We start from the raw sequence: 15,249 nt of genomic DNA on the forward strand, positions 1-15,249 counted from the left end.
GTGTGTCTTTGACAGGGATGCTCATGTTGTATCTGTTTTATCTGGGAATGGGGAAGAAAGTTCTGCACCCAACTCTGAAATCCTCCTCCTCCATCCATGACAGAGGCCACCCCTTGTCCTGTGCATAGACACAGATGTTCCTGGCAAGCAGCCACCCCAGAGTCCATGCATGGATCCTCTGGCAATCTTCTATTACACAAATCCACCAACCTTCCCCTCACTTTTGCATGTTTGTGTTTTCCCATAGTCACCTATGCCAGAAAAAAAAAAATAAGGCGTACCCTGAATGCCTTCCCACATGCCTCTGTCACCTTTCCAATAGTCCCTCCAGACACCTTACATGCCCATTTCTTCTCACATTGATGGTACCCCTGGTCCTGAGAGGCTGATTGTTCCAGAAAAGGATTATGCATTCACCTTTAAAAGCAGAACATGTGATTTCAACATGAAAGTGAACTTTAAGATTTCCATCATCCTGTGCTATCTTAATGTGTTTGATGATACCCAAAATGAAGGATTTTGGAGTTACCTTATCCCAGCAAACTGGGTCCTGGATATCTTAGTGGCCACTAACCCCTTTCAATGAACTACCTCTGCTTCCGTAGGGTGAAGTAAGCCTCCAGGTAAACTGTCTTTTCTTTCTTGTATCTCCCCAACTCTGTATTGTAAGAAGAATCCCCAAACATTCTACACCCATTCACTCTACAACTTTAGAGGCCTAGCTCCAACACAGACTGGTCATTTCCATGAAAAGAATAAAACATATGGATTGATCAATTCATTGTGACACATGAATCCGGGATGAACATACCCACACACACAGATACACAGACACACACACACACACACACACACACACACAGAGTCACACATCCTTAATAGTGTTTATTTTTCATTCCATAAAATCCAAGTTTAACCCCTCTTCCTGTCTGCGTTTTTTTGTGCCTGGATCTGTTTTTCCTTTAGGTCGTGTGCATAAGACCATACTGAGTACTGACATCCTGCATACTGTAGTAACTTTGTAGGAGTTCTGCTGTTTCAGGTAAAGCCTGATGCTCCATCATATTCATCTCAAAATCCAGAAGTCCCCTAGAGAAACACAAACGCATGTCAAAATGCATTTCCTCTGAGCCATAATTTAAAATGTTTTAATTTTAGGTCCTGCTGAGTAAAGACTACCCCTTTCCCACTTTTGATCTCTTAAACTTCGTCCTACCATGTGTTACAAACTGTTCTCTGCAATACCTGCTCCATTCCCAGTATACTCTGTGATGGGATTCAGCTAACAAGATGCATTGTTCACAAAAAGCACACCGAATCATCAGGCAGTAGCTTAAGAAAATCCATCAATCTAAACAGTCTTGTGTGGTTTGTGGCAAGGATGACAAAGAGGCACATTCAGGGAGTTAAATCTTAAGGGGTTGATAGGATGACTGCCAGTGGGGCTGACAGCCATGGAATCAAGTGCCACAAATTGAAGTTAATGATTCAGCTTTACCTCTCAGTGAATCTGGACATGGACTATACTTCTCTGGGCTTAAGACTCCACAGTTATAACCTGCTATGCAGTGTAGTCTCTAAAGTGCCTTTTTCAGCTCAATGCCCTGAATGTCCTGGATTCTGTCCCTCTCTGTCTTCCTCTCAAGGAATTTCCACATTTATGAAATAAGCCTCAATTTCTACATTTCTGAAATGAGAGTCCAGGCTCCCTGAATAGTGAGGGGTGTCAACCCCCTCATAGTGGGCATCAAACAGCTCCAGTTCCAACTGAATGGCTTACCTGAAATCTCTGTTCCCTCTTCAGGTGGCTTCATCCTCTTGTAGTATTGCAGGGGATTGTGCCACAGGTCCTTACATAGGATCTGTCAGGGGAATCAATTGGGAAAGGCCTCATCAGGGCTCAGACTGGTGACCTAAGCAGCTGGGAACACACCAGGTCATTCCTGATGTTTCCCGGTGAGGATGCACCTCAGCAATCCTATTAGGTCCTGTGAAGTTGTGGTCAGAAAACCAGTTGAAGAAGTTAAGGCTGCTATTGTGGTGTCTGGGTCAATAAGTCTCAACTTCATAATCTGGATACTACTGAATTGGAGTGGAATGAGAAGCCCTGTATTCTACAGAGAGGATTTTATGTGAAGAGGGCTGGATCACATTGGCAATTATCCACCCATCATCTTCCTTCCACTACCCATCCTGGAAGCCACTTGTCACCTGTGACATTCCCAAGATATTCCTTGGTCACCATTTTATTCTGGAAGTAGGGGTTACTCCAAAATAACAACATGATCTTGCAGAGATGAATGGGATGTTTCACTTCTTTCACCTGTCAGAACAAGGTGGAGAAAGCTTAAACATCTTTTTGGGTGAGGTGCCCACTGTTGCTTACAGGAATGAATTATTTCCCTTACCCTCCCCCACTAAACCCTCTAGCCTCAGTCTTCCCAGCCTCACCTCCAAGTTGATCACGTAGCTCAGCATGTCTTCATCTTGGTCACTGATCAGGGCTGATATCAAGAGGTGGTTTGCCATCTGCTTTAGGTCAAAGAGCCTTTAGATGCAATGGAAGGAAAAGTTAGAAGCAAGAGGGAAGAAGACCTAGAGCACCCAGAGGCTTGGGTAAGGAATTTCTAAGATCTGCTTCCATGTATGACCTCCCTTTCTACTCTACCTCCCCCTGAATTAAGGCCTCTTGGGCTCATGGAGTGCATATAATTCTGAGGCTGACTGCACTGACACACGGAGGGGTGACTTGGGAAGAGTCGCTGGCGTCTGAGGAGTGGCAGAATATGCTTATAACCGAAGACGCCCATTCCCAGATCGGACTGGCAAGGGGCAGCAATCACACTCCCTTAACAATAGCTTGATTCACAGAAAAACCTGTTCTGGTGAGAACTCGCTTCTGCTCTCCAAAAAGATGCCCCAAACGTCTGCTGCTTGGCATCACGAAGGGTTTCTCTGCCGCATGCAGGAAAATAATACCCACGCCTGCTCCAGTTTACTACAGCCACATTTGTCCACGGCAACTCACTGTTGTTCCCCAAATAATCACATCGACGCCGAGCTGCCCATCAGTTACTTACACTTCCCCAAGAGCACCTCTCAACTAGAAAGGCAGAAGAAATACTGAAAAGGTTACAACATTGGCCCAGCAGCCAGGGATGTTCTGGATGATGGCGCCTGTGCAGTACAGGCGCGGCTTGTGCCTCCTCTCCAGCTTTTCCCACTGCTGAGAAAAGGCCTTCCTGGCTCAGGCATTAACTGGCTCCAGCTCCACCTGAATGGCCAGCAGCTCCTCCAGTGCAGACTCTGGGGTCATGGGCCCAGGGCCAGGCTGTGCCCGCTGGGCCTCCTCCTGCCACTCCACGAGGGCCTCCTCCTGGGCCACCACCTCCACCTCCACCTCCACCTCCACCTCCACCATTATGTCATCCAGCACTAGCACCACCTCCTCCCCGAAGGCCGCCGCCTTGCTCTGAGCCCCGGACGCCTCCTCCTGCAGAGACTCTATCCTGAAAATGGTGCCCTCTTTGGGACTCTCACAGACCACAGCCTGTGCCACCCGACCCACACCACAGGCACCCTGCTGCTGTGCTTACTGGAGCCTGTGGGCGGGTAGGCCCTCAGGGCACATGCCCCGGGCTTCCAGGAGCCCCCTAACGAACTGCACGCAAAGGGCGCTGGGAGCCGCGCCACTACTGCCCACTTCCCGGCAAGACCAATCAGTGCGATGGTGGTGGGCGTCTCCCTGGGTGACACCTCCCCAGGCTGACCTGCATCACCAGCCCCCCGGGGTAAGCCTCCTCTGAGAAGCCCTCGCAGCTTGTGCCAGGTAGCGCTAGGTGCAGGCACAAGTGGGCTGCATGGCCTTTGGCATTGTGGGCATGGAAGCCCAGTGCCCTAACTGATATCCTGAGTATGGCAAGCTATTGACCCACAGGGAACACATGAAAACATCTCACTGCATTAGGCAGGCCAGGTAGGTGGTACAGAATATTGCAGATCCAGAGGAGAACTCTCTCTGGCTGCTGAGGCGAGGGTGGCGGGGGTGGCCTGGGGTAAGTGGGTCGGGGCCAGCTCTTGGGAGGAAAGTCGCCTGGTTGTGCTGAGGTGGAATTCGTCTGCTCCAGAGGTCGGAACCCTGGCAAGCACTCTCGCAGGTCTAGGCAAATACAGGCTCCGAGTACCATGCTTCCTCCTTGAGAATGCTGTACTCCCAGGAGCATTCTAAAAGGCTTCGCATCCTATGTCCCGGGCACACTGGAGGCCAGCCGCCAGGGTTGGCTACCGACAGCCTGCGTGCCTGCTGTTGTGCACTGCCTTGCCGACCCAGAGGCTCCCGCACGTGCAGCAACGTCTGCAGTGCCTGCTGGCGGGGCTCTGAAAGCCCAGGACATGGGCCTCTAGATCCTGAACTCCTGTGCGCAGTTGACCCTGGTGGGGACCTGAGCCCCATGGCGAGAGTGGCGATCTGCGGGCCCAGCGGGGCCCTTCAGGAAACCTGGGTCCATGTAGGTGTGGTACTAGGTTCTCAGCAGGGTGAGGCCCACGGGACTTTCAGGGAGCAGGCCTCTTGTGGAGCAGCCCTCCTGTGGAGCAGCCCCCAGAGCCTAGGGGTGCTGGGGATGCGCTGGGCTGCGCAGGCCGGGGTCTGTCGGAGCACCCAGGAGGACACCATGTTCAGGCTGGAGGCTCTGCTGGAGAGGAAGGCCGGGGTACAGATCAAGGAGGAGGCCTTGGAAAAGGAGAAGGTGCTTATGGTGGAAGACCTAATGGCTGAGGTGGAGGTGGTGGTTGAGGAGGAGACCGATGTGAAGTGGCAGAAGGAGGACCAGTGGGCACAGCCTGGCCCTGGAGGCAGCACACCCAGGCCGTCAATGAGCTCACTGGAGGTCTTCACTTGGAGCTGGGCTCCATGAATGCCTCAGGCCACAGGGCATCTCCAGCTTCTGGGCCAGAGCCATATCCTTGCAGCAGCCCATTTGGGATGGCTGGCAGCAGGGGTTGGGCATCAGGCTTTGGGGGGGTTGTGCGGGATGGGTGGGGGGAGGAGCCAGGAGGGAGGCACATGTGGTCAGCCAGGAGGCAGGGGATGGGGGACAGGTGGGAGCTGAGGTCAGTTTCCTGCAGATAGGAGGGCAGATTGCTGTCAGAGCCCTGGGAGCAGTTGATAGGGATGGGGAGCCAAGCACAGCACTCACAAGAGAGAATCGCGGCTCCAAGGACCCTTCACACACAGCACAAAGTTGAAGGGCATTTTTCCCTGGGAAAGTCCCTGGAGGAAGGGGACTCTGCACACCCATGCCAGGTAGAATCTGAAAGTGGACATTTGGAGCGCTTTGAGGCCTATGGTGAAAGAGGATATATCTTCAGATTAAAACCAGACAGAAGAATTCTGAGAAACTGATTTGCGATGCATGCGTTCATCTCACAGAGTTGAACCTTTCTTTTGATAGAGCAGTTTGGAAACACTCTTTTTGTATAATCTGCAAATGGAGATTTAGAGCGCTTTGTGACCTATGGTAGAAAAGGAGATATCTTCACATAAAATCTAGATACAAGCAATCTGAGAAACTTCTTTGTGATGTATGCATTCACCTGATAGAGATGAAACTTTCTTTTGATGTGCCAGTTTCGAAATACTCTTTTTGTTGAATCTGCAAGTGGACATTTGGAGCTCTTAAATGCCTAAGGTGGAAAAAGAAATATCTTCACATAAAAACTAGACAGAAGAATTCTGAGAACCTTCTTTGTGATGCATGCATTCATCTCACAGAGTTCAGTCTTTTTTTTGATTGAGGAGTTTGGAAGCACTGTTTTTGTAGAATCTGCAAGTGAATATTTGGAGCGCTTGGTGGCCTATGGTAGAAAAGGAAATGTCTTAACATAAAATCTACATGGAAGCAATCTGAGAAACTTCTTTGTGATGTGTGCATTCATCTCACAGAGTTAAACCTTTCTTTTGATTGAGCAGTTTTGAAACTCTCTTTTTGTAGAATCTGCAAGTGGACATTTGGAGTGCTTTGATGCCTATGGTGGAAAAGGAAATATCTTCACATAAAAACTAGATAGAAGAATTCTGAGAAACTTCTTAGTGAAGAGTGGGTTCATTTTACAGAGTTGAAACTTTCTTTTGATTGAGCAGTTTTGAACCTCTCTTTTTCTAGAATCTGCAAGTGGACATTTGGAGAGCTTTGAGGCCTACGGTGGAAAAGGAAATACCTTCAGGTAGAAACTAGACAGAAGAATTCTGAGAATCTTCTTTGTCATGTGTGCGTTCATCTCACAGAGTTAACTTTTTCTTTTGATTGAGCAGTTTGGAAAAACCCTTTTTGTAGAATCTGCAAGTGGACATTTGGAGCGCTTTGCAGCCTATGGTAGAAAAGGAAATATCTTCACATGAAATCTAGACAGAAGCAATCTGAGAAACTTCTTTTTGTTGTCTGCATTCATCTCAGAGAGTTAAACCTTTCCTTTGATGGTGCAGTTTTAAAACTCTCCTTTTGTAGAATCTGAAAGTGGACACTTGGAGCACTTTGAGGCCTGTGGTGGAAGAGGAAATATCTTCAGATTAAAACCAGACAGAAGAATTCTGAGAAACTTATTTGTGATGCGTGCGTTCGTCTCACAGAGTTGAACTTTTCTTTTGATTGAGCAGTTTGGAAACACTCTTCTTGTATAATCTGCAAATGGAGATTTGGAGCACTTTGCAGACTATGGTAGAAAAGGAAATATCTTCACATAAAATCTAGATAGAAGCAACCTGAGAAACTTCTTTGTGATGTGTGCATTCATCTCACAGATTTGAAACTTTCTTTTGATGGACCAGTTTTGAAATGCTCTTTTTGTTGAATCTGCAAGTGGATATTTGGAGCTCTTTCAGGCCTATGGTGGAAAAGGAAATATCTTCACATAAAAACTAGACAGAAGAATTCTGAGAAACTTCTTTGTGATGTGTGCATTCATCTCACAGAGTTCAGTCATTCTTTTGATTGAGCAGTTTGGAAACACTCTTTTTGTAGAATCTGCAAGTGGATATTTGGAGCACTTGGCGGCCTATGGTAGAAAAGGAAATATCTTAACATAAAACCTACACAGAAGCAACCTGAGAAACTTCTTTGTGATGTGTACATTCATCTCCCAAAGTTGAACTTTTCTTTGGAAGGAAGAGTTTTGAAATACACTTTTTGTAGAATCTGCAAGTGGACATTTTGAGCATCTTGAGGCCTATGGTGGAAAAGGAAATATCTTCACATAAAAACTAGACAGAAGAATTCTGAGAAACTTCTTAGTGATGTGTGGGTTCATTTCACAGAGTTGAAGCTTTCTTTTGATTGAGCAGTTTGGAAACACTCTTTGTGTAGAATCTGCAAGTGAATATTTAGAGCGCTATACAGTCTATGATATAAAAGGAAATATCTTCACATAAAATCTAGATAGAAGTAATCTGAGAAACTTCTTTGTGATGTGTGCATTCTTCTCACAGAGTTGAACTTTTCTTTTGGCTCAGCAGTTTTTGACCTCTCTTTTTCTAGAATCTGCAAGTGGACTTTCGGGGCGCTTTGATGCCTATGGTGGAAAAGGAAATATCTTCATGTAAAAACTAGATGGAAGCTTTCTGAGAAATTTATTTGTGATGTGTGCGTTCACCCCAGAGAGATGAACCTTTCTTTTGATTGACCAGTTTGGAAACACTCTTTTTGGAGAATGTGCAAGTGGACATTTGGAGCGCTTTGCGGTCTATGTTAGAAAAGGAAATATCTTCACATAAAATCTAGACAGAAGCATTCTGATAAACTTCTTTGTGATGTGTGCAGTGATCTCACAAATTTAAACCTTTGTTTTGATTGAGTAGTTTTGAAACTCTCTTTTTGAAGAATCCGTAAGTGGACATTTGGAGCGAATTGAAGCCTATGGTGGAAAAGGAAATATCTTTGGATAAATACTAGACAGAATAATTCTGGGAAACATCTTTGAGATGTGTGCATTCATCTCACAGAGTTTAACGTTTCTTTTGTGTGAGCAGTTTGGAAACACTCTTTTCATAGAATCTGCAAGTGGGCATTTGGAGTGCTTTGCAGCCTATGGTAGAGAAGGAAATATCTTCACATAAAATCTAGACAGAAGCATTCTGATAAACTTCTTTGTGATGTGTGCATTCATCTCACAGAGTTGAACCTTTCTTTTGAAGGAGCAGTTTTGAAATATGCTTTTTGTAGAATCTGCAAGTGGACATTTCGAGCTCCTTGAGGCTTATGGTGGAAAAGAAAATATCTTCACACACACAAAAAAAGACAGAAGAATTCTGAGGAACTTTTTTGTGATGTGTGCATTCATCTCAAACAGCTGAACCTTTCTTTTGGTTGAGCAGTTTGGAAACAGTCTTTTTGTAGAATCTGCAAGTGGACATTTGGAGCGCTATGTGGCCTATGGTAGAACAGGAAATATCTTCACATAAAATCTAGACAGAAGCAATCTGAGAAACTTCTGTGGGATGTGTGAATTCATCTCCCAGAGTTAACCCTTTCTTTGGATTGGGCACTTTCGACACTCTCTTTATGCAGAATTTGCAAGTGGACTTTTGGAAGGCTTTGACCCCTATGGTGAAAAAGGAAATAACTTCACGTGAAATCTAAACCAAAGCAATATGAAAAATTTCTTTTTGATGTGTGCATTCATCTCACAGAGTTAAACCTTTCCTTTGATTGTGCAGTTTTGAAAGGCTCTTTTTGTAGAATCTGCAAGTGGATATTTGAAGCACTTTGAGGCCTATGGTGGAAGAGGAAATATCTTCAGATTAAAACTTGACAAGAATTCTGCAAAACTTACTTGTGATGTGTGCGTGCATCTCAAATAGTTGAACCTTTCTTTTGATTGAGCATTAGGAAACACTTTTTTTGTAGAATCTGCAAATTGGGATTTGGAGCGCTCTGCAGCCTGTGGTAAAAAAGGAGATATCTTCACATAAAATACAGACAGAAGCAATCAGAGAAACTTCTTTGTGATGTGTGCATTCATCTCACAGAGTTGAAAATTTCTTTTGATGGACTAGTTTTGAAATACTCTTTTTGTTGAATCTGCAAGTGGACATTTGGAGCTCTTTGAGGCCTATGGTGGAAAAGGAAATCCTTGACATAAAAACTAGACAGAAGTATTCTGAGAAACCACTTTGTGATGTGTGCATTCATCTCACAGAGTTGAGCATTTCTTTTGATTGAGGAGTTTGGAAACACTCTTTTTGTAGAATCTGCAGGTGGACATTTGAAGCTTTTTGTGGCCTATCATAGAAAAGGAAATATTTTAACATAAAATCTAGATAGAGGAAATCTGAGAAACTTCGTTGTGATGTGTGCATTCATCTCCCAGAATTGAAACTTTCTTTTGATTGAGGAGTTTGGAAACAATCTTTTTGTAGAACGTGCAAGTGGACATTTGGAGTGCTTTGTGGCCTATGGTAGAAAAGGGAATACCTTTATATAAGAACTAGACAGAAACATTCTGAGAAACTTATCTGGATGTGTGCATACATCTCCCAGAGTTGAACCTTTCTTGTGATTGTGCAGTTTGGAAACACTCTTTTTGTAAAATCTGCAAGTGGACATTTTGAGCGCTTTGCGGCCTATGGTAAAAAAGGAAATATCTTCACATGAAATCTAGACAGAAGATATCTGAGAAACTTCTTGGTGATGTGTACATTCATCTCACAGAGTTATACTTTTCTTTTCATTGAGTAGTTTTTTAAACTCTCTTTTTGTAGAATCTGCATGTGGACATTTGGAGCGCTTTGAGCCCTGTGTTGGAAAAGGAAATATCTTCACATAAAAACTAGACTAAAGATATCTGAGAAACTTCTTTGTGATGTGTGCATTCATCTCCCAGAGTTCAACCTTTCTTTTGATGGACCAGTATTGAAATATTTTTTTTTTTTTTAGAATCTGCAAGTGGACATTTCGAGCACCTTGAGGACTATGGTAGAAAATGATATATCTTCACATAAAAATTAGACAGAAGAATTATGAGAAACTTCTTCATGATGTGTGCATTCATCTCACAGAGTTGAACCTTCCTTTGACTGAGCAGTTTGGAAACCCTCTTTTTGTAGAATCTGCAAGTGAATATTTTGAGTGCTTTGAGGCTGATGGTAGAAAAGGAAACACCTTCACATAGAATCTCCACAGAAGCAATCTGAGAAACTACTTTGTGATGTGTGCATTCATCCCACAGCTTTAAATGTTTCTTTTGCTTGAGCATTTTTGAAACTCTCTTTTCATAGAATCTGCAAGTGGACATTTGGAGAGCTTTGTGCCCTGCAGTAGAAAAGGAAATATCTTCACATAAAATCTTAACAAAAGCAATCTGAGAAACTTCTTTGAGATGTATGCATTCATCTCACAGAGATAAACCTTTCTTTTGATTGGACAGTTTTGAAATTCTCTTTTTGTAGATTCTGCAATTGGACGTTTGGAGCGTTTTGAGGCCTATGGTGGTAAAGGAAATATCTTCACATATAAACTAGACAGAACAATTCTGGGAAATTCCTTTGTGATGTTTGCATTCATCTCATGGAGTTGAACCTTTCTTTTGATTGAGCAGTTTGGAAACACTCTTTTTGTAGGATCTGGCAATTGGTCATTTCGAGTCCTTTGCAGCCAATGGTAGAAAAGGAAGTATCTTCACACAAAATCTAGACAGAAACAATCTGAGAAACTTGTTTCTGATGTGTGCATTCATCTCACAGAGTCAAACCTTTCTTTTGATTGAGAAGTTCTGAAACTTTCTTTTTGTAGAATCTGCAAGTGGGCATTTGGAGCGCTTTGAGGCCTATGGTGGAAAAGGTAATATCCTCACATAAAAATTACACAGAAGAATTCTGACAAACTTCTTTGTGATGTGTGTGTTCATCTCACAGAGTTGAGCCTTTCTTTTGATTGAACAGTTTGGAAACACTGTTTATGTAGAATCTGCAAGTGGACATTTGGAGCACTTTGAGGCCTGTGGTAGAAAAGGAAATACCTTCACATAAAATCTAGACAGAAGCAATCTGAGAAACTTCTTTCTGATGTGTGCATTCATCCTACAGAGTTAAATGGTTCTTTTGATTGAGCATTTTTGAAACTATCTTTTCGTAGAATCTGCAAGTGGAAATTTGGAGCGCTTTGAGGCTTATGGTGGAAAAGGAAATATCTTCACATAAAAACTAGACAGAAGAATTCTGAGAAACTACTTTGTAATGTGAGCGTTCATCTCACAGAGTTGAATCTTTCTTTTGATTGAGCAGTTTGGAAACATCGTTTTTGTAGAATCTGCAAGTGGACATTTGGAGCTCTTTGCAGCCTATGGTAGAAAAGGAAATATCTTCACATAATATCTAGAAAGAAGCAATCTGAGAAACTTCTTTTTGATGTGTGCATTCATCTCACAGAGTTAAACATTTGTTTTGATTGAGCAGTTTTGAAACTCTCTTTCTGTAAAATCTGCAAGTAGACATTTGAAGCGCTTTGAGGTCTATGTTGGAAAAGGAAATATCTTCTTAGAAAATGTAGACCGAAGAATTCTGAGAAACTCCTTTGTGATGTGTGCATTCATCTCACAAAGTTGAATTTTTCTTTTGATTGAGCAGTTTGGAAACATTCTTTTTGTAGAATCTGCAAGTGGAAGTTTGGAGAGCTTTGCGGCTTATGGTACAGAAGGAAATATCTTCACATGCTATCTATACAGAAGCAATCTGAGAAGCTTCTTTGTGATGTATTTATCTCACAGAGATAAATCTTTCTTTTGACAGAGCAGTTTAGAAACTATCTGTAGAATCTGCAAGTGGACATTTAGAGCGCTTTGTGGCCTATGGTAGAAAAGGTAACATCTTCACATAAAATCTAGACAATAGCAATCTGGGAAACTTCTTTGTGAAGGGTGCATTCATCTCACAGAGTTAACCTTTTCTTTTGATTGAACAGTTTGGAAACTCTCTTGTTGTAGTATCTGCAAGTGGACATTTGGAGCACTTTGATGCCTGTGGTGGAAAAGGAAATATCTTCACATAAAAATAGATAGAAGCATTTTGAGAAACTTCTCTGTGAGGTGTGCGTTCATCTCCCAGAGTTGAACCTTTCTTTTGATGGACTAGTATTGACATACTCTTTTTGTAGAATCTGCAAGTGGACTTTTCTAGCGCCGTGTGGCCTATGGTGGAAAATGATATATCTTCAAATAAAATCTAGACAGAAGAAATCTGAGAAACTTCTTTGTAATGAGTGCATTCGTCTCACTGAGTTAAACATTTCTTTTGATTGAGCAGTTTTGAAACTCTCTTTTTGTAGTATCTGCAAGTGGACATTTGGAATGCTTTGAGGCCTGTGGCGGAAAAGGACACATCTTCACATAAAACCTAGACAGAAGAATTCAGAGTAACTTCTCTGTGATGTGTGGGCACATCTCACAGAGTTGAAAATTTCTTTTGATTGAGCAGTTTGGAAACACTCTTTTTGTAGAATCTGCAAGTGGAGATTTGGAGCGCTTTGTGGTCTATGGTAGAAAAGGAACTATATTCACATAAAATCTAGACAGAAGCAATCTGAGAAACTTCTTCATGATGTATACATTCATGTCACAGAGTTAAACTTTTCTTTTGATTGAGCACTTTGAAACACTCTTTTTGTAGAAGCTGCAAGTGGACATTTGGAGCACTTTCAGGCCTATGGTAGAAAAGGAAATATCTTCACATAAAAACTACACAGAAGAATTATGAGAAACTTCTCTGTGATGCGTGAGTTGATCTCACAGAGTTGAACATTTCTTTTGATTGAGCAGTTTGGAAACACTCTTTTTGTAGAATCTGCAAGTGGACATTTGGAGAGCTTTGCAGCCTATGGCAGAAAAGGAAATGTCTTCACATAATATCTAGACATAAGCAATCTGAGAAACTTCTTTGTGATGTGTGCATTCATCTCACAGAGTTAAAACTTTCTTTTGATTGAGCAGTTTTGAAACTCTCTTTTTGTAGAATCTGAAAGTGGACATTAGTATCGCTTTGAGGCCTATGGTGGAAAAGGAAATATCTTCACATAAAAACTAGTCAGAAGAATTCTTTGTGATGTGTGTGTTCACCTCACAGAGTTGAACCTTTCTTTTGATTGAGAAATTTGGAAACACTCTTTTTGTAGAATCTGCAAGAGGATATTTGGAGCCATTTGCGGCCTAAGTTCGAAAAGGAAATATCTTCACATAAAATCTAGACAGAAGCAATCTGATAAACTTCTTCATGACGTGTGCATTCATCTCACAGAGTTAAACATTTCTTTTGATTGAGCAGTTCTGAAAGTCTCTTTTTGTAGAATCTGCAAGTGGACCTTTGGAGCGCTTTGTGGCCGATGGTAGAAAAGGAAATATCTTCACATAAAATCTAGACAGAAGCAATCTGAGAAAATTCTTTGTGATGAGGGCTTTCATCTCACAGTTAAACCATTCTTTTGATTAACCAGTTTTGAAACTCTCTTTTGGTAGAATCTGCAAGTGGACATTTGGAGCGCTTTGAGGTCTATGGTGGAAAAAGAAATATGTTCACATATAAACCAGACAGAATAATTCTGATAAACTTCTTTGTGATGTGGGCTTTCATCTCACAGAGTTGAACCTTTCTTTTGATTGAGCAGTTTTGAAACACTCTTTTTGTAGGATCTGCATGTGGACATTTGTAGCGCTTTGTGGCCTATGTTAGAAAAGGAAATATCTTCTCATAAATTCTAGACAGCAGCAATCTGAGAAACTTCTTTGCGATGTGTGCATTCATCTCACAGAGTTCAACATTTGTTTTGATTGAGCAGTTTTGAAACTCTCTTTTTGTAGAATGTGCAATTGGAAATTTGGAGCGATTTAAAGCCTATGGTGGAAAAGAAAATATCTTCACATAAAAAGTACACAGAAGCATTCTGAGAAACTTCTTTGTGATGTGTACATTCATCTCACAGTGTTGAACCTTTCTTTTGATTGAGCAGCTTTGAAACACTCTTTTTGTAGTATCTGCTAGTGGATACATGGAGCGATTTGAGGTCTATTGTGGAAAAGGAAATATCTTCACATAAAAACTACAAAGAAGCATTCTTTCAAACTTATTTGTTATGAGTGAATTCATCACACAGAGTGGAAGCTTTATTTTGATTGATCAGTTCTGAAACACTCTTTTTGTCGAATCTGGAAGTGGATATTTGGAGGGCTTTGAGGCTTATTTTGGAAAGGAACTATCTTCACATAAAAACTACACAGAAGCATTATGAGATACTTCTTTGTTATGTGTCTATTCAACTCACAGAGTGGAAACTATCTTTTGATGGGGCACTTTTAAATCTCTCTTTTTGCAGAATCTGCAAGCGGATATTTGGAGCGTTTTGAGGCTTACCGTGGAAAAGCAAATATCTTCACCTAAAAACTACACAGAAACATTCTGAGAAACTTCTTTGTCACGTGTGTATTCAACTCACAAGGTCGAACCTATCTTTTGATTGACCAGTTTTGAATCTCTCTTCTTGCAGAATCTGCAAGTGGATATTTGCAGAGTTTTTAGGCCTATTGTGGAAAAGGAAATGTCTCCACATAAAAACTACACAGAGAAATTCTGAGAAACTTCTTTGTGATGTGTGCATTCAACTCAGAGAGCTGGACCGATCTTTTGATTGAGCAGTTTTGAAACACTCTTTTTGTAGAATCTGCAAGTGGACACTTGGAGCGCTTTGAGGCCTATGGTGGAAAAGGTAGTATTTTCCAATATAAACTATACAGAATAATTCTGAGAAACTTCTTTGTGACATGTGTGTTCATCTCCCAGAGTTGAACCTTTCTTTTCACTGAGCAGCTTGGACACACTCTTTTTGTAGAATCTGCAAGTGGACATTTGGAGCACTTTGCAGCCTAAGGCAGAAAAGGAAATATCTTCATATAGAATCTAGACAGAAGCAATCTGAGAAACTTCTTTGTGATGTGTGCATTCATCTCGAAACAGCTCATTGAAAAGAAAGGTTCAACTCTGTGTGATAGATGCACCCATCACAAAGAAATTTCTCTGAATGTTTCTGTGTAGTTTTTATGTGAAGACATTTGCTTTTCCACAATAGGCCTCAAAACACACCAAATATCCACTTGCAGATTCTACAAAAAGAGTGTTTGATAACTGCTGAATCATAACATAGGTTCAACCCTGTGAGATAAATGTACACATCACAAATAAGTTTCTCATAATGCTTCTCTGTAGTTTTTATTTGA

The 15,249-nt window shown here is 42.0% G+C and overlaps 1 pseudogene, besides 1 other annotated feature; it reads right to left on the reverse strand.

The window, feature by feature from the left end:
- On the reverse strand, positions 873–3,676 carry TSPY5P (testis specific protein Y-linked 5, pseudogene; annotated as a pseudogene).
- Positions 5,808–6,398: an enhancer, noted in NCBI's record as "OCT4-NANOG hESC enhancer chrY:9908937-9909527 (GRCh37/hg19 assembly coordinates)". NCBI's record gives its function as "activates a minimal SCP1, AML or CMV promoter by ChIP-STARR-seq in primed H9 embryonic stem cells {active_cell/tissue: H9 hESC(primed)}" and the evidence as "EXISTENCE:reporter gene assay evidence [ECO:0000049][PMID:30033119]".

The sequence above is a fragment of the Homo sapiens genome, chromosome Y, assembly GCF_000001405.40.
Source record: "Homo sapiens chromosome Y, GRCh38.p14 Primary Assembly".
NCBI lineage: Eukaryota > Metazoa > Chordata > Mammalia > Primates > Hominidae > Homo > Homo sapiens.